General features: G+C 49.4%; 1 protein-coding gene across 2 annotated transcripts, besides 1 other annotated feature; it reads left to right on the top strand.

Moving 5' to 3' along the window:
• Window positions 7272-7566: a silencer, noted in NCBI's record as "tiled region #10283; K562 Repressive non-DNase unmatched - State 7:EnhWF". NCBI's record gives its function as "represses a minimal TATA promoter and a strong SV40 promoter by Sharpr-MPRA in K562 cells {active_cell/tissue: K562}" and the evidence as "EXISTENCE:reporter gene assay evidence [ECO:0000049][PMID:27701403]".
• SEC14L4 (SEC14 like lipid binding 4) lies at window positions 7333-24126 on the top strand. Of its 2 annotated transcripts, none has more exons than NM_174977.4 (12): window positions 7333-7470; window positions 9276-9351; window positions 17057-17100; window positions 17386-17445; window positions 17586-17774; window positions 18067-18162; window positions 18818-18878; window positions 20471-20554; window positions 20873-20979; window positions 21055-21194; window positions 21286-21455; window positions 22782-24126. In NM_174977.4, exons 1-12 carry the CDS (start codon window positions 7417-7419, stop codon window positions 22919-22921), a joined length of 1221 nt encoding a protein of 406 aa, NP_777637.1. In that variant the 5' UTR covers window positions 7333-7416; the 3' UTR covers window positions 22922-24126. The 2 variants fall into 2 exon arrangements, with proteins under 2 accessions (NP_777637.1, NP_001154840.1); NM_001161368.3 differs by having other exon boundaries at window positions 23150-24069.
• The last annotated feature ends 247 nt before the right edge of the window (window positions 24127-24373 follow it).

Raw genomic sequence — 24373 nt, 5'->3', positions numbered from 1 at the left:
AAGTAGCTGGGACTACAGGCGCCCGCCACTACGCCCGGCTAATTTTTTGTATTTTTAGTAGAGACGGGGTTTCACCGTTTTAGCCGGGATGGTCTCGATCTCCTGACCTCGTGATCCACCCGCCTCGGCCTCCCAAAGTGCTGGGATTACAGGCGTGAGCCACCGCGCCCGGCCATATTTATCACATTAAAATGATATTTTGGATGTATTATTTTTTGTTTTGTTTTGAGACGAAGTGTCTCTCTGTTGCCCAGACTGGAGTGTAATGGTGTGATCTCAGCTCACTGCAACCTCTGCTTCCCGGATTGAAGAAATTCTCCTGCCTCAGCCTCCCAAGTAGCTGGGATTATAGGTACCCACTATCATGCCCAACTAATTTTTGTATTTTTGTAGAGACTGGGTTTCACCATGTTGGCCAGGCTGGTCTTGAGCTCCTGACTTCAGATAATCCCCCTGCCTTGGCTTCCCAAAGTGCTGGGATTACAGGCGTGAGCCACTGCACCCAGCCAGATATGTTATTAAAATAATGTTTTTGTTTTCAGATGGGATCTCTCTGCTGCTGAGGCTGGCATGCAGTGGTCTTGTGTCCAGAGTTTGTTCCTTCCAGTGGGTTCGTGGTCTGGCTAACTTCAAGAATGAAGCTGTGGACCTTCACGGTGAGTGTTACAGCTCTTAAAAGTGGCAGAGACCCAAAGAGTGAGCAGCAGCAACATTTACTGTGAAGAGCAAAAGAACAAAGATACTGCACTGTGGAAGGAGACCCAAGCAAGTTCCCGCTGCTGGCTGGCGGGTGGTGTGGATAGGGTGGGAGGGGGTGGCCATCTTTTATTCCCTTGTTTGTCCCCGCCCACATCCTGCTGATTGGTCCATTTTACTGAGTGCCAATTGGTCCATTTTACAGAGCGTTGATTGGTCCATTTTACAAACCTCTAGCTAGCCACAGAGCGCTGATTGGTGCGTTTTTACAGAGCACTGATTGGCATATTTTACAAACCTCTAGCAAGCCACAGAGTGCTGATTGGTGCATTTTACAATCCTCTTATAGGACAGAACAGTTCTCCAAGTCCCTACCTGACCCAGAAATTCAGCTGGCTTCACCTCTCGGTCTGATCATAGCTCACTGCGAACTTAAACTCTTGGGCTCAAGCAATCCTCTTGCCTTAGCCTCCCAGGTAGCTAGGACCACAGGTTCATGTCACCATGCCCGGAATATTTTTTCTGGCTAATTTTTTTTAAATGTTTTTTTAGAGACAAGGTCTTGCTTTGTTGCCTAGGCTGGTCTTAAACTCCTGGCCTCAAGTGATCCTCCCACCTTAGCCTCCCAAGCAACTGAGATTACAAGTGCAAGCCACCGCTGTCTGCTTAGAATAAATTTTTTTTTTTTTGAGACGGAGTTTTGCTCTTGTCACCCAGGCTGGAGTGCAGTGGCACGATCTTGGTTCACTGCAACCTCTGCCTCCTGGGTTCAAGTGATTCGCTTGCCTCAGCCTCCAGAGTAGCTGGGACTACAGGCGTGTGCTACCACGCCCGGCTAATTTTTCACCATATTGGCCAAGATCGATCCCCTGACCTTGTGATCCGCCTGCCTCGGCCCCCCAGAGTGTTGGGATTACAGGCATGAGCCACCACGTGCGGCGCTTAGAATGAGTTTTTACACAGCTCTGGAGGATTGAAAGTTATCCGTGTGGCTTGTATTATTTTTCCACTGGACAGCCCTGAGCTATCATAATATTTACAAACCCTTAGAGCCAGCCTGGTAAGTAGAAAGTACCTGTAAGTGATAGTTAAATAAAAGCTTCTCTTGGGAGGTGATTTGTTACCTCTGGTATTTCAAAATATGGCTTTTCCCACTCCTCAGAAACTGGGAAAAGTTGGGGCAAATTTATTTAAAACAGATTTTTTTTTTTTTTTTTGAGAAAAGATCTCCTCTCTGTTGCCAAAGCCGGAGTTCAGTGGCATAAACATGGCTCACTTTAGCCTCGATCTCCCTGGCTCAGGCAATCCTCCTGCCTCAGCCTCTGGTGTAGCTGGGACCACTGGTGCGTGCCACCACACCTGGCTAATTTTTTGATTTTCTGCAGAGACGGGGTCTCATTTTGTTGCCCAGGCTGTTTTCCAACACCTGGGCTCAAGCAATCCACCTACCTCAGCCTCCCAAAGTGTTGGGATTACAAGCATGAGCCACTGGGCCCAGCCCCAAATTTCTTTTCTTATCCAGTTTTTCTTTTACTGAGTAGTTTTTGTTTTATGTTCCAGAAGCATAAAGCATGCATTATGTGGTCCTGTCTTTCCCAAACTGTTGTTATAAACCCTTCCATCAACTACATTAAGCACCATAGCTTACTTTAAAATTGTCTCCAATCTTCCTGTTAACAACACACAAACAACTTTAAGCTTAAAATATTTTTTGTTAGGATTATCACTGGGCAAAGTGGGAAAATATTTCAGGATTCTGAAGTGTATGGTCAAGTGGTTTTCCAGAAAAGCTGAATTCGTTTATATTCCTGCCATCAATGTATTAATGTCTCCATTTCACCAACTTCTAACTGACTTTATTATTTTCTTTCTTTTTGTGACAGGGTCTCCCTCTGTCACTCAGACTGGAGTGCAGTGTCACAATCATAGCTCACTGCAGCCTCCACCTTCTGGGCTCAAGTGATCCTCCCTCCTCAGCCTCCCAAGTAGCTGGGACTACAGGAGCATGCCACCACGCCTGGCTAGTTTTTTAATTTTTTGTAGAGACGAGGTCCCACTATGTTGCCTGGACTGGTCTCGAACTCTTGGCTTCAAGAGATCTTCCCAAAGTACTGGGATCACAAGTGTTAGCCACTGTGCCTGGCCTATTATCTGAGTAGCTGGGACTACAGTCTCACCCCACCACACCCAGCTAATTTTGTAGTTTTTTCTTAAAAGGTGTGTGTGTGTCTGTGTGTGTGTGTTGTTTGTTTTTGCTGATTTTTCAGAGAAAAATGCATCTCATTACTTGAATACACATTTCATTGATGACTCTGGAGATTGGGCATTCATCCACTTGATAAATACACCCTGAGCATTTTCATTCCTAAGAATTGGTGCTTTGAATCCTTTGCCCATTTATTTCTTAGGGCCTTCCTATTTTTCTTATCAACTTGAATTTTTGTACATTTTATTTTTCCCAAATTTCCATCAGCAAATACTGACAAATGTCTTTTTTTTTTTTTTTTTGAGATGGAGTCTAGCTCTGTCGTCCAGGCTGGAGTGCAGTGGCATGATCTCAGCTCACTGCAACCTCTGCCTCCCAGGTTCAAGTGATTCTCCTGTCTCAGCCTCCCGAGTAGCTGGGATTATAGGCACCTACCACCATGCGCAGCTGATTTTTGTATTTTTCGTAGAGACGGGGTTTCACTGTGTTGGCCAGGCTGGTCTTGAACTCCTGATCTCCTGATCCGCCCGCCTCAGTCTCCCAAAGTTTGGGATTACAAGCGTGAGCCACAGCGCCCGACTCTGATAAATGTCTTAATTCTGTTTCTTGTTTAATAGATTTTTGTATTTTGTAGTCAAATCAATTCATTTTCCCTTTGTGATTCTGTCATTGTTTTTAAACACAGACCATGCCCTTCCAGAGATGTGGTGTCACTTTTACTTTCTTTTAGCATTTTTTATGATTTACTTTCTTTTTCTAAAAACATATTTTAAATCTCTATAGGGCAAACAATGTTCAAATTAAATATAATGCAAGTCATAAATGTGATCCATAAATGTAATTTTATTTTATTTATTATTATTATTATTTTTTGAGACCGAATCTCACTCTGTCACCCAGGCTGGAGTGCAGTGGCATGATCTCAGCTCACTGCAACCCCCGTCTCTGCCTCCTGGGTTCAAGTGATTCTCCTGTCTCAGCCTCCTGAGTAGCTGGGATTACATGCGCACAGCATCATGCCTGGCAAATTTTTGTGTTTTTAGTAGAGACGGGGTTTTACTATGTTACCCAGGCTGGTCTCAAACTGCTGGGCTCAAGCGATCCGCCCACCTCAGCCTCTCAAAGTGCTGGGATTACAGGTGTGAGCCACCATGCCCAGCCCATACGTGTAATTTTAAATCTTTCCAGTGGCTACTTTTTTTTTTTTGAGATGGAGTCTTGCTCTGTCTCCCAGGCTAGAATGTGATGGCGCAATCTCAGATCACCGGAACCTCCGCCTCCCGGGTTCAGTGATTCTCCTACCTCAGCCTCCCGAGTAGCTGGGATTACAGACGTGCACCACCATGCCCAGGTAATCTTTGTAGTTTTAGTAGAGACAGGGTTTCGCCGTGTTGGCCAGGCTGGTCTCAAACTCCTGACCTCAGGTGATCCACCCGCCTTAGCCTCCCAAAGTGCTGGGATTACAGACGTGAGCCACCACGCCCAGCCCCAGTGGCTACATTTTTTTTTTTTTTAAGTAAAAAGGATAGGTAGGAGCACAGAGGATTTTTAGGGCAGTGAAACTATTCTGCGTGATACCACAATGGTGGACACATGTCATTATACATTTGTCAAAACCCATAGAATATCCAACACCAAGAATGAGCCCTAATGTAAACTAGGAACTTTGGGTGATATTAGCGTGTCAGTGTAGGCTCATCAATTTCAGCAAATGGATATCTCTGGAACCAGAGGTTGTGTGTGTATGGGGACAGCAGATATGTGGGAACTCTGTACTTTCTGCCCAGTTTTGATGTGAACTTAAAACTGTCCTAAAAAATAACAATTTAGCTGGGCACTGTGGCTCATGCCTATAATCCCAGGACTTTGGGAGGCTGAGGCGGGAGGATCGCTTGAGCTCGGGAGTTTGAGACCAGCCTAGGCAGCATGGCAAAACCATGTTTTGTATTTTTCTTCAAAAAAATACAAAAATTAGCCGGATGTGGAGATGCACATCTGCAGTCCCTGCTACTGGGGAGGCTGAGGTGGGAGCACTGCTTGAGCTTCAGGGGTGGGGGGCGGTGGAGCTTGCAGTGAGCGGAGATTTTGCCACTGCACTCCAGCCTGGGTGACACATTGAGACCCTGTCTTAAAAAAAGAAAAAAAATTATCATTATAAATAATTCAAAATTATTAAAACATCAAAAGAAACAGGTGAAAGTAATATTAATAACATATTTTATTGTCCTATTATATTCAAAAATATCACTTAATATATAATCATTTATATAAAATTAATTAATGAGGCTAGGAGCAGTGGCACACGCTTGTAATACCAGCAATTTGGGAGGCTGAAGCAGATGGATGGCTTGAGCTCAGGAGTTTGAGACCAGCCTGGCTAACATAGCAAAACCCTGTGTCTATAAAAAAATAAAAATAAAAATAAAAATAAATTAGCCGGGTGTGGTGGGGTGAGAATGTAGTCCCAGCTACTCAGGAGGCTGAGGTGGGAGGATCACTTGAGCCCGTGAGGTCAAGGCTGCAGTGAGCCATGATTGCACCACTGCACTCCAACCTGGGTGACAGAGTGAGATGCTGTCTCAGTACATAAATAAATAAAATTAGTTAATGAAACATTTTACTTTTTCTGGTACTAAGCCATCAAAACTTGGTTTGTATTTTACAATTACAGCATGTCTCTATGCTTGTTATGACAAGCCACGTTGTCTGGGCTCAAAAGCCTCTGTGGCTCACGGCCACTGGGTTAGTCCTTTCGGGACTAGAGCTTGGTTTGATTCCATGGGAGGACAGAGGGAACAGGGTCTTGTGGCCTGTTTTACTCTCTCCTTCATCTTCACGTCCCCTCTACTCCTCTCTTGAAAATTCACACCCAGCCAACTTCTGTTTTCTTTTTTTGAGACAGAATCTGGCTCTGTCGCCCAGGCTGGAATGCAGTGGTGCCATCTTGGCTCATTGCACCCTCAACCTCCCAGGTTCAAGCAATTCTTGTGCCTCAGCCTCCTGAGTAGCTGGAACTACAGGCGTGGACGACCACACCCAGCTAATTTTTGTATTTTTAGTAGAGACAGGGTTTCACCATGTTGGCCAGGATGGTCTCAAACTCCTGACCTCAAGTGATCCGCCTGCCTTGGCCTCCCAAAGTGCCAGGTGCCAGGATTGCAAGCATGAGCCACCGCGCCTGGCTGAACTTTTTTCTTGCTTTTCCTAGTGATCTCCGCCTGGCTCTCTTGTGTCAGCCAGAGTGGCCTTTTGGCTCTCCGCCCACTCTGTCACTCTGCCCAGGGCTTCCATTGGTCCACGGCTGGCACCTTGCATGCCTCCACCTTCAGACTGTGGCTCTCACCCAGGAGCTCCGCACTTGGGACACCCTAGGATCTCCACCCCTGCAGCTCCCAGCTCTGGTGACAGCCTCAGTAATAACACAATTCTGAAATATATTCCTACCAGCCAGCACTTACTGAGCAGGCAACGCCAGACATTCTGCTGACCCAGGGTGCGTCCTCTTATCCTTCCAACCATCTTGAGGGCAGGAACCATTTTGCACATGAGGCTGTCCTATCAGTCAGTGAGCACTGACAGGTCCCAGGCTGTGTTCAAGGTCAGGGGAAGGAGCTTGGGGGTCATTAGACAAAAGCCCTGGGGGTCCTAGAGGGTTGAGCCAGGTTTATTAAAAATTCCTCCATGTTGGCCAGGTATGGTGGTTCACATCCCTAATCCCAGCACTTTGGGTGGCGGAGGTTGGAGGATTGCTTGAGGCCAGGAGGTCCAGACCAGCCTGGTCAGCATAGCAAAACCCGGTCTCTATTTTATTCAAAATAAGAAAAAGAAAAAAAAAATTTTTTTTTTTTTTGAGACGGAGTCTCACTCTGTCACCCAGGCTGGAGTGCAGTGGCGCGATCTCGGCTCACTGCAAGCTCCGCTTCCCGGGTTCACGCCATTCTCCTGCCTCAGCCTCCCGAGTAGCTGGGACTACAGGCGCCCGCCACCACGCCCAGCTAATTTTTTGTATTTTCAGTAGAGACGGGTTTTCACCATGTTAGCCAGGATGGTCTCGATCTCCTCCTGACCTCGTGATCCGCCCGCCTCGGCCTCCCAAAGTGCTGGGATTACAGGCGTGAGCCACCGCGCCTGGCCCAAAAAAAAAAAAACATTTAAAAAAAAATTTCCTCCATTTTGCTGGAAAGAGGATCTCAGTGTATTCCCTTTCCTGCCACCTGCGAACAGGCGGGAGCCCCCGCAGTAAGGAGGCCTGGAGGTGGCTGCCTCCAGCTGCCCCAGGCCACTCTCCCGGCAGGTCACCTCCCTGTCCCAAGTAGGGTGCGCTTGGTGACCGCAGCAAAAAATCCTGGAGAGGAGGAGAGAACTGGGCGGGGCGGGGCAGGCCCAGTGCCTCTCCCGTCGGGGCGGGACCAACATCTGGCCCAGGAGGCACAACCAGGCGGCAGCGGATACAAGGCCAGGCGGCGGCGGGCGGGCGGACCTGCGCCCTGAGCCTTTCTGCGCCCGCGGGCACCATGAGCAGCCGAGTCGGGGACCTGAGCCCCCAGCAGCAGGAAGCGCTGGCCAGGGTGAGGAGCATCGCGGGCTGGGAGGCTTGAGGAGGGGCCCTGAGCAGCCTGGCACTGCCCAACCCGGCTGGAGCCCCCATGGTACAGACTGGAACACCGAGCCTGGAGAGAGCGCCTCTGTTCTGCCCTCTGGTCCAGCGTGCGGTTGTTGAGGCGGCTACGTGCAGCACGCGGGACAGGGGCCCATCTCTGCGTGACCAGGAGCCGAATCCAGTCTTCTGACCTTGCGTGCTCTCCACCACCCGGCCCTGGTCCTTGTTCCCCGGTTGTGGGGGAGGGAGTGGCGCTGCCATCCGGCTGCGGGGGCAGCCTTGGGTAGACAGACTGCTTTTCATGTCCAGGTTGCAACATTTGTTTGTTTGGCTTCTCTTTGTGATTTGTTCTTAGGGCCCAAGCTTCTCTGTAATCTTTTTTTTTTTTTTTTTTGAGATGGAGTCTTGCTCTGTCGTCCAGGCTGGAGTGTAATGGCGCAATCTCGGTTCACTGCAACCTCCACCTCCTGAGTTCAAGCGATTCTCCTGCCTCAGCCTCCCAAGTAGCTGGGGCTACAGGTGCCCGCCACCACACCCGACTAATTTTTGTATTTTTAGTAGAGACGGGGTTTCACCATATTGGCCAGGCAGGTCTCTTGGACAGGCTGGTCTCGAACTCCTGACCTTGTGATCCATCCGCCTTGGCCTCCCAAAGTGCTGGGATTACAGGTGTGAGCCACTGCGCCCGGCCTCATATTTCTAATCCCAAATTTGGATTCACAGATTCACCTTCAAACCCAGCCTTTGCCTTCAGCTCTGTTGGTCCCCAGGGAAGTGAGATCTCCTCTCTCTCAGACGCAACAGATGCCCTGATAAGGCATTCCTGGCTTCTCTTTCAGCCCCTGTCTGTTGACCTCTGCCTCTGTTTTTTTTCCACAAAGCCTCCATTGTCCGGGGCATCAGGCAGTCCACGCTGGCTGAGTGCTCACATATATCTGACACCTGCTCGGAGCCAAGCCTGCTAAGTGTTTTACGTGCACAGACTCCTTTGATTGGTACAAGTTTATTTTTATCCCCATTTCAGAGATAAGGAAACTGAGGCTTAGAGAGGTTTGGTAACTTGCCTCTAAATCTAAACCCTCAAGATGCAGTATCAGGGACAACATTCCTAAAACCGCCTAGCTGGCCTGCATCAGACTCTCCCAGGGATCCTTGTAGAAATAAGGCTGTCAGTCGGGCATGGTGGCTCACGCCTGTGATCCCAGCACTTTGGGATACTAAGGCGGGTGGATTGTTTGAGCCAAGGAGTTTGAGACCAGCCTGGGCAACATAGCAAGATCCCATCTCTACAAAAAGTACAAAAATTAGCTGGGCATCTTGTGTGCCTGTGGTCCCAGCTACTTGGGAGTCTGAGCTGGGAGGATCTATTGAACCCGGGAGGCACGGGTTGCAGTGAGCCAAGATCACGCAACTACGCTCCAGCTTGGGCGATAGAGTGAGATCCTGTTTCAATAATAATAATAATAATAATAATAATATAAAAATAATAATAAAATAAAAATTAAAAATAAGGATGCCAGGGCCCCACCTTAGACATGTAGAATGGGAGTCCAGTGTGTAGGGCACTCCCAAATTTTGGGAAGGACCCAACTCTTTTTCCTATGTTGGGCTGGAGGGTGCCCTATTTTCAGATGGCAAAGTCGTTCAGGGCAGCACCCTGCATGGTCTTCTGGTGGAGTTGACTGGTGGATGATGTGGGAAGGGTTAGGGGCGGGGTTGGTGGCCCCCGAGGTCATGAGAGCTCCGCCGACCATCAGATCCTCCTCCGCTCAGTTCCGGGAGAACCTCCAGGACCTGCTGCCCATACTGCCCAATGCTGATGACTACTTCCTCCTGCGCTGGCTGCGAGGTGAGGCTTGCAGGGGTCAGGGGACGCAGAAAGGGAGGGAAGGAAGGAGGGTCTCAGGAGAGGAGTGGGAGACTTTGAGGGAATGGAGCTGTAGGGTAGTAAAGAACACAGGCTTGCCGGGCCCGGTGGCTCACACCTGTAATCCCAGCACTTTGGGAGGCCGAGGCAGGCAGATCACCTGAGGTCGGGAGTTCGAGACCAGCCTGACCAACATGGGGAAACCCTGTCTCTACTAAAAATACAAAATTAGCTGGCTTGGTGGCACATGCCTGTAATCTCAGCTACTCAGGAGGCTGAGGCAGGAGAATCGCTTGAACCCGGGAGGCAGAGGTTGCGGTAAGCCGAGATCCCGCCATTGCACTCCAGCCTGGGCATCAAGAGTGAAGCTCCGTCTCAAAAAAAAAAAAACAAAAAAACAAAAAACACAGGGTCTGGAATCAGCCTGCTCTGACTAGAATCTGAGCTCCCCTGTGTATGAGCACAGCACAAAACCCCACTGAGCCTCAGTTTCTTCATCTGTCAAGCAAGGATGAGGCAACAGGTGGGCACAGAGTCCAGGTGAGGTTACAGTTAACAGCCAGGACATCCTCAGGCCTCTGGCCTGGCCAGCCCTTGGGGCAGATGTTGCAGAGCACTGTTTTCAGTACTTGCCTTTGGGTGTACCTCCAGTTCCCCGAGGACAGGGCTCTGTTGTCCCCTAAAGGAACCGAGGTGCCCTAGTGCACTGAGCAGGTGCCCAGCAAACACTTAAGGAAGTGGATTTAGCGAATGCTAGAGAAGCAGTTTCTTCTAGGAATTACAGCAGCAGTCTAAAAAAATAATAACAAGCCAGATGCGATGGCTCACACTTATAGTCCCAGTGCTTTGGGAGGCTGAGGCAGGCAGATTTCTTGAGCTCAGGAGTTCAAGACCAGCCTGGGCAACATGGCGAAACCTCATCTCTACAAAAAATACAAAAATTAGCCGGGTGAGCTGCCGAGCACCTGTAATCCCAGCTACTCAGGAGGCTGAGGTGAGAGGATCACTTGAGCCTGGGAGGTGGAGGATGCAGTGAGCTGAGATTGTACCACTGCACTCCAGCCTAGGCGACAGAGTGAAACCCCATCTCAAAATAATAATAACAGACACTGCCCCAGAGCTTAGGGAAAAATTCATCTTAACTCATTACACCTCATGGAATGGATTTTGAACTTGAGATGAGTGAGAAGTCAGGAGTCAGCCCGGAAAGCATACATACAGTGCAGGGTTTAAAACGCTGGCTTTGGAATTGGGCAGAGCTGTGACTGAGTTCCAGTGCTAGCATGTGCCTGTGGCAAGCCAGTCATTGTCCCAACCTCACTTTCCTCTTCTGTGTAATGGGCATAATACTGGTCCCTACCTTCAGGGCGCTGTGAGTCAAATGAGGTCGCAGATGCACACAGTACCTGAGAAAAGGAAGTCCCTACCAGGGACTAATTCTTCCTCTGATTTGTTCTGTCTGTTTTTGTTTTTTTGTTTTTTTTCAATATTTTGGCCAGGCCCTGTGGTTCACGCTTGTAATCCCAGCACTTTGGGAGGCCGAGGCGGGCAGATCACTTGAGGCCAGGAGTTCGAGACCAGCCTGGCCAACATAGTGAAACCCCATTTCTACAAAAATACAAAAATTAGCTGGGTGTGGTGGCACGTGCCTGTAGTTCCAGCTACTCAGGAGGCTGAGGCACGAGAATCACTTGAACCCAGGAGGCGGAGGTTGCAGTGAGCGGAGATCATGCCACTGCACAACAAAGCAAGACTCTGTCTTAAAAAAAAAAGTATGTGTATGTATATATATATATATATATATATATATATGTGCGTGTGTGTGTATATATATATAAAAACTTTAATTTTTAGAATAGTTTTAGATTTTCAGAAAATTGCAAATATAGTGCAAAAAGTTCCCACATACTCTGCACCTAGTTTTCCTTATTATTAACATCTTCTTCTTATGATGATGATGGTACATTTGTTAGAATTAATAAACCAATATGGATACATTATTATTAACTACAGTCCGTATATTATTTGGATTTCCTTCATTTTTCTCTTCCAGGATCCCATCCAGGATCCCACATTATATTTAGTCATCTTGCCCTCCTTAAGCCCCCTTGGCTGTGGCACTTTCTATTTGTTTTTGACAAGGAAATATGTCATTGCCCCCAGCCTGGACCAAAGAAGGAGTTGGGACAGTTGATTTCTTGAAGCCCCTTGATACAGCATCAGCTCTCTCTCTTCCTTTAGTATCTTTTTGGGTTTAAAACCCAGCTTTTGGGGTGCTTGGTGTGCCCTTGATAAAGGAGTGAGATTGCAGATACCTAGGCTTCCAGGTCATAGGAAAGAAAAAGGATCCAAGATTGGGAAGGGGGCTGGGTGTCCTGATGCCTCCCACCTCATGCCATGGGTGATGGGACCTGCTGGCATGGCCCCGTCGTCCACTTCAGCGTCAGCTCCGCTAGTCCCGGCCTCACTAACCCAAGACCCAGGCAAAGGGGAGGGCTACTGCTGAGGCTGAGCTTGGTAGAGGACCCTCTCCCGGGCCTCATGCTGAGGGGCTTTTCCCAACCCTCCTTCTGAAGTTCTTTTCCTTTGTTTTTATTTATTTTTATTTTTATTTTTTGTAGACACAGGGTCACAGGGTCTCACTACATTGCCCAGGCTGGTCTCGAACTCCTGGACCCAAAATGATCCTCCCGCCTCGGCCTCTCAAAGTGCGGGGATTACAGGTATGAGCCACTCTGCCTGACCCCCTCTGTTTTTCCTTAACTTCATCCCACATCTGTCTGTCGGTTCCATTAGTTTCATCTGATGCCAGTTCCATCAGGGCAGGGATGTGCCTGCCCTGGTCCCCTCAGCCTGGCGCATAGTAGGTGTTACTAAAAAAAAAAAAAAAAAAAAAAAAAAAAATTCTGTTCTCATATCCCATGAGCATTGCCCAAACCACTGTTTATAGGATAAGAAACCACATTCTGGTTCCTAACTGAAAAATCTCCTATAGCTGGGCACAGTGGCTCACTCCTGTAATCCTGGCACTTTGGGAGGCTGAGGCAGGAGGATTGCTTGACCCAGGAGTTCAAGACCAGCCTGGGCAACATGACGAAACCATATCTCTACAAAAAATTCAAAAATAAGCCGGGTGTGTTGGTGCATGCTTGTAGTTCCAGCTATTCGGGAGGCTGAGGTAGGAGGATGGCTTGTCTCAAAAAGCAAACAAACAACACAACAGAAAATCACCTATAAACTGAATCTTTTTTAAGCCTATAAGAGAAGATTATGAACAAATATGCACTAATAAATTTGAAAATCCAAGTGAAGGAAGACACATTTCTAGAAAATAATATATAAGACCAAAATCCAGCAAGAAGAAATAGAAAACGTCATCAGACCAATAAATATTAGAGAAATTGAAATGGCAGCAAAAACTTCCCCTCCCCCAAAACTCAGACTCCAGTGGTTCTACAGATGAATTCCGCCAGAGTTTTAATACCAGTTGGCCGGGCGCGGTGGCTCATGTCTGTAATCCCAGCACTTTGGGAGGCCGAGGTGGGCGGATCACCTGAGGTCGGGAGTTCGAGAAAAGCCTGACCAACATGGAGAAACCCTGTGTCTACTAAAAATACAAAAATTAGCCAGGCATGGTGGTGGGCAACTGCAATCCTGGCTACTTGGGAGGCTGAGGCAGGAGAATCGCTTGAACCCAGGAGGCAGACGTTGCAGTGAGCCAAGATTGTACCATCACACTCCAGGCTGGGAAACAGAGAGAGACTCTGTCTCAAAAAAAAAAAAACAGTTAATTTCTAGCTCATACGAATTCTTTAAGAACCTATGAGAGAGTGAAAGTTACCTTATAAGGTTTGAGTAAGTTTGATTTCAAAGCTAGATCAGTACAATTTTTTATTTCATTTTATTATTATCATTTTTTTGAGACAGAATCTTGCTTCATTGCCAAGGATGGAGTGCAGTGGTACAAGTTTGGCTCACTGCAACCTCCACCTCCCAGGTTCAAGTGATTCTCGTGCCTCAGCCTCCTGACTAGCTGGGATTACAGGCATGAGCCACCACACTCAGCTAATTTTTTGTATTTTTAGTAGAGACAGGGTTTCACCATGTTGGCCAAGCTGGTCTCGAACTCCTGACCTCAAGTGATCTGCCTGCCTTGGCCTCCGAAAGTGCTGGGATTACAGGCAGGAGCCACTGCGCCCAGCTAATACAATTTTTTAAAAAAGAAAATTCTCAGCCTATTTTACTTATGAATGTAGATATAAAGAAGTCTAAATCAGGCCAGGTGCGGTGGCTCACACCTGTAATCCCAGCACTTTGGGAGGCCGAAGCAGGCGGATCACCTGAGGTCAGGAGTTCCAGACCAGCCTGGCCAACATGGTGAAACCCCATCAGTTAAAAAAAAAATAGTAGTCTAAATCAATATTATGTAGTAGAATCCAATAAGGCATTAAAATTATGCAGCATGACTGGCCGGGCGCGGTGGCTCAGGAGATCAAGACCATCCTGGCTAACATGGTGAAACCCCGTCTCTAGTAAAAATACAAAAAAAAATTAGCTGGGCGTGGTGGCGGGTGCCTGTAGTCTCAGCTACTCAGGAGGCTGAGGCAGGAGAATGGCGTGAACCCGGGAGGCGGAGCTTGCAGTGAGCCGAGATCGCGCCACTGCACTCCAGCCTGGGCGACAGAGCGAGACTCCATCAAAAAAATAATAATAATAATAATAATTATGCAGCGTGACCAAGGGAAGTTTATCTTAGGTGTGCAAGAATAGTTCAACAACAGAATATCTATCGGTGTCATTGAAAACATTAATGAGTGCTAGAAATGAGAAATTATGTGGCTATCTCAATTAATGCAGATAGAGCATTTGAAAAGGTTCAAATCCTACTTATAAGACAAAATGAAAGTCTTACCAATCTAGGGATAGAAAGGAGTTTCCTTGACTTGGTAATGGTTACGTAGCAAAAATCCTCTGACAAATGTTAACACTTATTAGAGGATTTTAGATGCATTTTCTTTAAGATCAGGAACAAGGAAAGAATCAATCAATCAACATTACTGTTTAAATGTAGAACTGGAGACCTTTGCCAATGTTACATGGAAAGAAAAAATATCAATTGGTAGAAAGACTAGAAGGAAAGAGTTAAAATATTTGCAGAGAAATTGCTTGTCTCCCTTGAAAACCAACTGGATCAACAGAAAACCTCTAGAACTCAAGAGAAAATTCAGCAATATTGCCAGATATAAAAATCAGTAGCGGGCAGGGCATGGTGGCTCACACCTGTAATCCCAGCACTTTGGGAGGCCAAGGCAGGCAGATCGCTTGAAGTTAGGAGTTCAAGACCAACCTGGCTAATAAAAATACAAAAATTAGCCAGGCATGGCGGTGCATGCCTGTAGTCCCAGCTACTCAGGAGGCTGAGGCATGAGAATTGCCTGGACCTGGGAGGTGGAGGTTGCAGTGAGCTGAGATCTGCACTCCAGCCTGGGTGACAGAGTAAGACTCTGTCTCAAAAAAAAAAAAAAAAAAAAAAAGATAATGAAAAGTCAGATACCATTCAAAACAGCAACAAAGCCCATAAAATACCCAGGAGTTTAACCTAGAACACACAAGACCTGTACAGCAAAAATCTTAAAATCTCTGAAGTATATAGAACTGCCCTGTTCAGTTTGATCACCTGTAGCCACATATAACTGTAACGATTAAATTAAATTAAAACTCCAGGTCCTCAATCACACTTGCCACGTTTCTATTGCTCCGTAGCCTCAGGCAGCTAGCGGCTACCATAATGAGCAGCTCAGGTATAGGACATTTCCATCATCACAGAACGTTCTCTTTGACAGAATTGACACAGAAGATGATTTTAATAAATATATAGCCCAGAGCAAAGATCGCATAGGTGAACTTGGTGGCTTGTCTTCAAATATTTGCAGAATTGCCACATTGACAAGAGATAACATGTATTTGTTTGACCTCTGATGATGGGGCTGGAATCATCACAGGTCAGATTTGGGTTCAGTCAAAGCTGCTGAGGAATGGAATGGTAATGTCTTCTGTGGTAATGAACTCTCCATCATGGGAGATAATCAAGGCTGAGCTGTTGCATTGGGGGTTCTTTCTTTTTTTTTTTTTTTCAGACAGGGTCTCACTCAGTCACCCAGGCTGGAGTGCAGTAGTGCGATCTTGGCTTACTGCAGCTTCCTTCTCCTGGGTTCAAGTGATTCTTGTGCCTCAGCCTCCCGAGTAGCTGGGACTACAGGTGTGCACCACCACGCCTAGCTAAGTTTTGTGTTTGTTGTTGTTGTTGTTGTTGTTGTTTGAGATGAAGTCTTGCTGTTGTCCCCCAGGCTGGAGTGCAATGATGCGATCTCGGCTCACTGCAACCTCTGCCTCCTGGGTTCAAGCAATTCTCCTGCCTCAGCCTCCTGAGTAGCTGGGATTACAGGCACCTGCCGCCATGCCCAGCTGATTTTTGTATTTTTAGTAGAGACGGGGTTTCACCATATTGCCCAGGCTGGTCTTGAACTCCTGACCTCAAGTGATCTGCCCGCCTTGGTCTCCCAAAGTGCTGGAATTACAGGCGTGAGCCACCACGCCTGGCCGGGAGTGATTTCTGGAACTGTTTCATGATCAGAGCAGAGGAGGCCTGGATAGCATCTGAGATCCCTTCCATTTGAAAATCTCTGACCCCGCATATTGTTTCAGCTCTGGGAGTGGACAAATTCCTCAGTGAGCCAGGGGTCTCAGAGAGCAACAGTCAAAGCATTTCTAAAATACAGCATCATGTTTTCAATTAAAGTGTGTCTATTTCTTCAAAATAGGTAATCATGATAGCTACTGTTTATTGAGAACCTACTGTGAGCCAGGTATTGGGCCAAACACTTTCTATACATTATCTCATGTTGTTCTTTGAATAACTGAAACAGATAGTGTTCTCATTTAACTGATTAAAAAACTAAGGCTCAGAGAAGGTAAGTGACTTGCTCAAGGTTTCACAGGAAATAAAAGGGCAACACTAGACTTTAAGCCCCAGTCTCTGTGAATCCAAACCCCATGCTCCCCACCAACCCTAACACTGTGCAGGTGGTGGGGGGGGGTGTCTCTGCTTCCTGAGGGACATCAAATACAGGCTAGATTGGCCTCCAGAAGGTTGTAGGAAGACTGGAAACTGAAATCAAGGGCTCTCCAGTCTTCTAGAGGATTAAAGATCCTTAACTTGTTAAAAAACATTTCTAGGTCAGGCACAGAGGCTCGCGCCTGTAATTCCAACACTTTGGGAAGCTGAGGTGGGAGGACTGCTTGAGGCCAGGAGTTCAAGACCAGCCTGGGCAACATAGCAAGATCCCTATCTCTACCAAAAAAAAAAAATCTAAAAAAAATTAGCCAGGCATGGTGGTGTGGCCCTGTAGTCTCAGCTACTCAGGAGGCTGGGGTAGGAGGATCACCTGGGCCAGAGGCCACAGTAAGCTATGATCACATCACTGCACTCTGGCCTGGGCAACAGAACCAAGACTCTGTCTCAAAAAATAAACACACAAACAAACAAACAACCATTTCTAGATGTTCAATGTATTATTGGGGTGTCAGGAAAAGGCTGGGGACACCTTAGCTGTTTCCTCATGAGTTTTTAGGGAAGGGCTCTTTCTGGATCTAGCCTTGAGCTTCTATTTACCTCCTCTTCTTGCAGCTCGAAACTTTGACCTGCAGAAATCCGAAGACATGCTCCGAAGGGTAAGGATCTGTGATCCCTACTGCCCTGCCTTCCATGCACTGTGACCCAGGGATTTGCTGCAAAAGGGTAGAGACTCTGGCCCTGTCCCATTCTCCTGTTTCTTCTTTCTTCCTCCCCCGATCTCTTTCTGCATCAGACCCAAGTCCCCCCAGCCCACCTCCTGTCCCCACGCTCTGAGAGCCTGGGTATGCTGTGGTGGGATCTTGGTGGCTGTGGGCAGAGGGACCTAGCCTGGTGTCCCCAGGTTCCTGCAAAATCCTATAGCTCCTGCTGTGTTCCTGCAGCACATGGAGTTCCGGAAGCAACAAGACCTGGACAACATTGTCACATGGCAGCCCCCTGAGGTGAGCCTCGAGCAGCATCCCCCAGGCCATCTGAGGCCCCTCACCCCTGACATCTCCCACCTACCACGTCCAGCCACCTGATGGAGTAGGGACCCAGCCTGGTGAGCTGGATTGAGTCGGGACCTTACCCACACTTCCAGGTCATCCAGCTGTATGACTCGGGTGGTCTTTGTGGCTACGACTACGAAGGCTGCCCTGTGTACTTCAACATCATTGGGTCCCTCGACCCCAAGGGTCTCCTGCTGTCAGCCTCCAAGCAGGATATGATCCGGAAGCGCATCAAAGTCTGTGAGCTGCTGTTGCATGAGTGTGAGCTGCAAACTCAGAAGGTGAGCAGCGGGGGTGGGGCTGGGCCTCATCTGTCTACAGGGTGGCACCAGGACCAGAGAAGGGTGGCACCCTGCCCCTCCCCAGCCCTCAGCACCCAGGGCTCTGGTGGAATGTGGGCTTCTCCCACCCTTACCCACCCGTAAAAGTGAGGTGTTGTCCATCTGTCTGGAAAACGCTGTGGGCTGCCAGAGGGTGGGATGGCAGGAAGGTGGGGAGAGGTGCCCAAGTCTCTCTGGCCAGGATCTCCTGGCTGGAGCTGTCGTCTGACCTATATGACTCTGTCCCAAGCAGCTGGGCAGGAAGATCGAGATGGCGCTGATGGTGTTTGACATGGAGGGGCTGAGCCTGAAACACCTGTGGAAGCCAGCTGTGGAGGTCTACCAGCAGGTAAGGTGGGTGGCTGGCTTGGGGCTGGTGTGGGCAGTGGCTCCCAGCTGTGAGCCCTAGCTGTGAATTGATGTGAGAATCCAGTGAGATAGAGGGGTGGGGATGCCTTGCAGGGGCTCCACAGACCAGCCAATGATGCTGGCCTAGAGACCACCCTCCACGGAGAAAGGGGAGCAAGATTAACACAAAGAGGCCAGGCGTGGTGGCTCACGCCTGTCATCCCAGCACTTTGGGAAGCCAAGGTGGGAAGATTCCTTGAGCAGGAGTTCAGGATCAGCCTGAGCAACACAGTGAGATGTCATCTCTACCAACAATAATAATAATTTTTACATTAGCCCAGTGCAGTGGCACGTGCCTGTAGTCCTAGATACTTGGGTGGCTGAGGCGGGAGGATCTCTTGAACCCAGGAATTCAAGGTCGCAGTGACCTGTGATTGTGCCACTATACTCCACCTTGGGAGACAGAGTGAGACCCTGTCTCGAGAACAAATCAACAAACAAAAAAAGAATAACAGAGAGGAAGAGGCACATGCTTGTGGGGAAGGTAGGATGGGCCAGGGATGGGCCTCTTGTCTCAGCAGCATCAGAGGCCACAGAAACCCATGGGCGGGAGGTGATGGAACAGAGCCCCAACCAGACTCATCTTGACTCCACAGTTTTTTAGCATCCTGGAAGCAAATTATCCTGAGACCCTGAAGAATTTAATTGTTATTCGAGGTAAGCCCATGACCGGGATGACCTCCTGGGGAGGGAGAAGCAGGAATTGGGGGTACAGTAGGTAAGCCATGGAGTTAAAGGCTTCTTCACCCATCCTTTGTGAAGAACCAGGTTTTGTGTGGTTGGTTTCTGGTTAGTTAGTTATTGAGATGGAGTCTCCCTCTGTCACCCAGGCCGGAGTGCAGTGGCATGATATTGGCTCACTGCAACCTCCGCCTCCTGGGTTCAAGCAATTCTCCTGCCTCAGCCTTCCTAGTAGCTGGGATTACAGGTGCACGCCACCATGCCTGGCTAATTTTTGTATTTTTAGTAGAGATGGGGTTTCCCTATGTTGGCCAGGCTGGTTTTGAACTCCTGATCTCAAGTCATCCAGCCACTTCGGCCTCCCACAGTGCTGGGATTATAGATGTGAGCCACCGCACCCGGCCTCTGGCTTTATTTTTTAGTTTCAGTCCTTCACAGACTGATATTTTTGTAATATACAAAATCATGCACTGGTATGTTTCAGCAATGTCAAGTTATAAGTTTCTAAATGTTTACTGTTACTTACTTATGTCAGTGTGGGCTGGGAACAGATAGTCCATGGACCACACTAGTGGATGGACACACTTTGAGCGGGAATGGTCCCTGGCTGCCCTGGTGATGTCATGTGTTCCAGAGTCAGAGGATCTGGTTCAAATCTAACTAGCTCTATGATTTTATCCAAGTCTACTTAACCTCACTGAGCCTCAGTTTTCCCATTATGTAAGATGGGGATACAATAGCCCCCTCCTCAAAGATAACTATGAGGTTAAATGAAACAGTGTGTGGAGAAGATGGAGCACAGAGCTTGGCCCACAGACAGTGCTCAGTTGAGTGTGAGCAATTCAGGGCAGGACAGGAAGTCTCATGTAGATGTCACACCCAAGAAGATTCCAGACAACCTGGAGTGTGGAAAAGAAGTGATACTGTTGGGGAATCAATATTGCTGACCCTAGAGCCAGCTTGTGCCCAATCCCTTACAACTGGGTTGGGGAGACAGCCATTTTTCTTTTTCTTTTTTCTTTTCTTTTTTTTTTTTTTTTTTGAGATGGAATCTCACTCTCTCACCCAGGCTGGAGTGCAGTGGCGTGATCTTGGCTCACTGCAACCTCTGCCTCCCAGGTTCAAGCAATTCTTGTGCCGCTGCCACCCGAGTAGCCGGGATTACAAGCATGCACCACTACGCTCAGCTAATTTTTGTATTTTTAGTAGAGACGGAGTTTCACCATGTTGGCCAGGCTGGTCTTGAACTGCTGGCTTCAAGTGATCTGCCTACCTCAGCCTCCCAAAGTGCTGGGATTTCAGGCATGAGCCACTGCGCCTGGCCTGAGACAACCATTTATTGAAAGCCAGGAACTGTGCCAGGTGTTATACATACATTATTTCACCTTCATTTTCCAGTTAACTGCACTAAGACTTGGAGAGGGTGGGTAACTTGCTGAAGGTCACACAGCAGAGAGTGGCAGAATCCATATCTGTCCACCTCCTGTCCAGCACCTGCTCTTGGCTGTGGCTCTGTATCCCCACGTCCTTTCTGGTCCAGCTTCTCAAGAGATTTACATGTGTTTCAGCCCCAAAACTGTTCCCCGTGGCCTTCAACTTGGTCAAGTCGTTCATGAGTGAGGAGACACGCAGGAAGATTGTGATTCTGGGAGGTGAGCGACGTGGCCCCCTGGTTGTGTCCATCTGCCTGGGAAGCAGAGGTCAATGCTAAAGACCCTGCTTCTCCCTGGCTCGTCCTCTACTCGGGCACTACCCCTGGCCTGACCCTGGTGAGCCTCCACACGCACGGGCAATGCCTTGGGTCCTAGACCGTGGGCTGGGAGCCACATAAAGGTCTTGGGTACTCTTAGGAGTAGGTGCCCGGGGGAGCACGCCCAGGACATATCAGGTTCCCTCACCAAGCTCAGCCCCCTCTGCCCTCTGTTGAGTCTCCTGAGTCCCTTTGGAGTCCCTCTCTTGCTCCCATGCAGACAACTGGAAGCAGGAGCTGACAAAATTCATCAGCCCCGACCAGCTGCCTGTGGAGTTTGGGGGGACCATGACTGACCCCGATGGCAACCCCAAGTGCCTGACCAAGGTACAGGGTGCCCAGAGGATGGGGAAGGAGGGGAGAAGCTGTGATCTAGTGCCCACACACCCCCTTCACCCACAGATCAACTATGGGGGTGAGGTGCCCAAGAGCTACTACCTGTGCGAGCAGGTGAGGCTGCAGTATGAGCACACGAGGTCCGTGGGCCGCGGCTCCTCCCTGCAGGTGGAGAACGAGATCCTGTTCCCGGGCTGTGTGCTCAGGTAGGGATGGCAGCCACTCTACACCTGGGCACATCTGGGAGGGGCCTGGAGCCCAGGCAGGGGGTCGCCAATGGGGCTCTATCCACTGCAGGTGGCAGTTTGCTTCAGATGGTGGGGACATCGGCTTTGGGGTTTTCCTGAAGACCAAGATGGGGGAGCAGCAGAGTGCTAGGGAGATGACGGAGGTGCTGCCCAGCCAGCGCTACAATGCCCACATGGTGCCTGAGGATGGGAGCCTCACCTGCCTCCAGGCTGGCGTCTGTAAGAGCTGCGGGGTTTACTGGAATTGTTTTCCCTGCCAGTCTCCCCTCTGCTTGCCCTCTCTTTCCAGCTCTCGGGAGGGTGGGGGGATCTCTGTAAGCTCCAGGGGAGCCAGCTTTGGGGCCATGGATCAGATGAGTGGCCCCTACCTGTAGGTATGAGGGCAGAGATTCATTGTGGGGGAAGAGCTGGTATTCAGAACCTAGGGCCTTGGGCTCAGCTCCTAAGAAGCCCCTATACCGGGATCACTGGACTAAGAGACAGGTAAGTAAGAGGCCATGGACTTAGAGTCAGGGGTCTTGGCAAGGGGACCACCCAGTTGCATGAACCACCCCACTCCAGGAGTCCCAAAGAGGTGACTTCCTCCAGGTGCTTATCATTCACCCCCAGGCCTTCCAGGCCAGATGCAGCTCAGTCAGCTTTACCAGAAGTAGCATTGCTCAGGGACACCACTGCCCTTCCACATCTATTGGGAACAGAGCTAGGAGAAGGGGAACCCAAGGTTGATTTCCTATGGAGGAGAAGGGTGTGGCTTATGCTTAAGTCAACACATTACCTTATTTCATTTTGTGGAAAGGGAGCATTAGGAGAGTAGAGACAGACAAGTCTGCACGACTCATCACACCTGAGTTCATGTTGGACCTTGGCATTGAAGGACATGCCTTCTGTGAGACGGAAAGCGGCTTATGTAGCCCAGCCCATTCCTCCTGGGGTAGCAGGGCTCCTCCCTGGGTTGGGACATCTGGATAAAGGAATCCCAGTACCTCCCCTCCCTTGCTCTGTGACCGCTGAAAGATCATATCACCTCTCCAAGCCTCAGTTTTCTCCTCTGTAAAATGAGGATGACATTGCCTTCCACATGGGGCTGCTTTGAGGATTCAGGGGCTATAATGTGTGATGGAATCCATGGTTCATGGAGAGGCCCAAGAGCTACCTGTGCAACCGCAACTAGGCGAGGACGCAGTACGAGCATACTGTGTCCGTGGGCCACAGCTCCTCCCTGCAGGTGGAGCTCGAGATCCCGTTCCCAGGCCGCCTGCTCCCTGGCTGTGTGCTGTTCTATATGCTGATGACCATCATGATTCCTTCATGTAGCGCAAGCCACCATGGAGATGGCAGCGAGCAATGGGCTTAGGGCTGGGCACAGGCTGGCCCTCAGGCCCCACCCACTGTCCTGGACAGCTCATTTCCAAGGGTTCCAGGGATGCAGGACGTTCCAGGGATGCAGCTCATTCCCAAGGGTTCCAGGGATGCACCCATGCAGGGCTGGCTCTTCCTGCAGATGTGCGGGGTTTGTGCTCCCTGATCACCTCTCCATCACTGCAGATGTCCTGCGCTTCGACAACACCTACAGCCGGATGCATGCCAAGAAGCTCAGCTACACTGTGGAGGTGCTGCTTCCCGACAAGGCCTCTGAGGAGACGCTGCAGAGTCTCAAGGCGATGAGACCCTCCCCAACACAGTGAAGACCCCAGCCACCTCTACCTGTGCACTCCAACCCCTTCACACCCACCCCTCTGACCCCTGCCTTCCCAGGCAGGGTGGTGCTGGAGGTGGCTGCAGAGAGCCACTTGTCCCACGTCACCATTTCATCTCATTGTAGGCTCACCTGGCACAGTGGCCAAGCAGGAAGGGGCCACCAGTGCATAGCCCATGCTGAAGATTCAGACAGGAACCTCTTTCCCTGTTCCCAGAGAATGCGGCTGAGAATGAGAACGCTGAAGATGATCCAGTCCACTGAGGATGGGTCCTGCTTGCAGAAGCTGCCCTTTCACCCATCTTGACAAGATCCAGCCACCCAGGACTCACCCATGCCTGGTGTTCCAGCTTCAGGGGGTGTGCGTGGTTCCTAGGTCCTGTGGACATCACAGCTTCAGGCCTGAAGAGCAGAGAAGCCCTGTTCTCTGCATGTAGGAGGTCAGCAGGGGTGGGCAGGCCCAGCTGGAGGCAGCTGGGTGAGGGTCCTGGTTCCAGCAGAGCACTGGGGCCCATCCAAGTTTGTTCTGCCACCACTGGATGGAAAATTGGAAATGGACTGGGCGTGGTGGCTCACGCCTATAATCCCAGCAGTTTGGGAGGCTGAGTTGGGCAGATCACCTGAGATCAGGAGTTCGGGACCAGCCTGGGCAACATGGTGAAACCCTGTCTCTACTAAAAATACAAAAATTAGCCGGGCATGGTGGCGTGCACCTGTAATCCCAGCTACTCAGGAGGCTGAGGCAGGAGAATCGCTTGTACCCAGGAGGCGGAGGTTGTAGTGAGCTGAGATCGTGCCACTGCACTCCAGCCTGGGCAACAGAGCCAGACTCCGTCTCTAAACAAACAAACAAACAAACAAACAAATAAAGAAAGAACATTGGACATGGAGAGGTGGGGCCTGGCATGGGTAACCATCAGAGGAAAAAGCCATGCTCAGCCTTCCAGTTGAGTGGGTAACGACTGAGTCTCCAGGGAATTCCCAGTGACCTCCCCTCCACACCTGCTGTGATCCTGCCAACATTTAGCTTTGGTTCTCTTGGCAGCTGCACCATTCATGGGTGCATATACGTAGAGTCTGAACAGGTGCTCTGCTGCTAGAAACAGCAAACCATCTAGATTAAACTCCTAAAGCCAGTGCCACGAGGCATTCCTGTTCCAACTGGGTGTTTGAGCAGATTGGCAAAAAAAAAAAAAAAAAAAAAAATGGCTGCGCTGGCTCCAAGGAGATGGCCTGGGCTGTCGGGCAAGAGTCACAGGACATCCCCATGTCCAGGGGCTGCCTCTGCATCGGAGATGTGACAGGCATCCCCACTACCCTGTTGCACTGCATGGCCACGCTGTCTGCTGCTTTCCCAGATGCAGTGATATTTGGAGTGCCCAGAGGCACTTGGGCTTCCATGGCAGGCTGTGGCCAACTGGAGCCGGGAGGACCTGTGCTA

Source organism: Homo sapiens, chromosome 22 (assembly GCF_000001405.40).
Source record: "Homo sapiens chromosome 22, GRCh38.p14 Primary Assembly".
NCBI classification, from domain to species: Eukaryota; Metazoa; Chordata; class Mammalia; order Primates; family Hominidae; genus Homo; species Homo sapiens.
Note: the sequence above shows the minus strand (reverse complement) of the source record. Positions and strands in the feature narration are given on the sequence as shown.

Bases quoted from the DNA above. Each gene is read 5' to 3' on its own strand.
- SEC14L4 (NM_174977.4), top strand. From the start codon at position 7,417: ATGAGCAGCCGAGTCGGGGACCTGAGCCCCCAGCAGCAGGAAGCGCTG. The intron at 18,163-18,817 runs GTAAGGTGGGTG...TTGACTCCACAG, and splicing joins CTGTGGAGGTCTACCAGCAG to TTTTTTAGCATCCTGGAAGC. The intron at 18,879-20,470 runs GTAAGCCCATGA...CATGTGTTTCAG, and splicing joins GAATTTAATTGTTATTCGAG to CCCCAAAACTGTTCCCCGTG.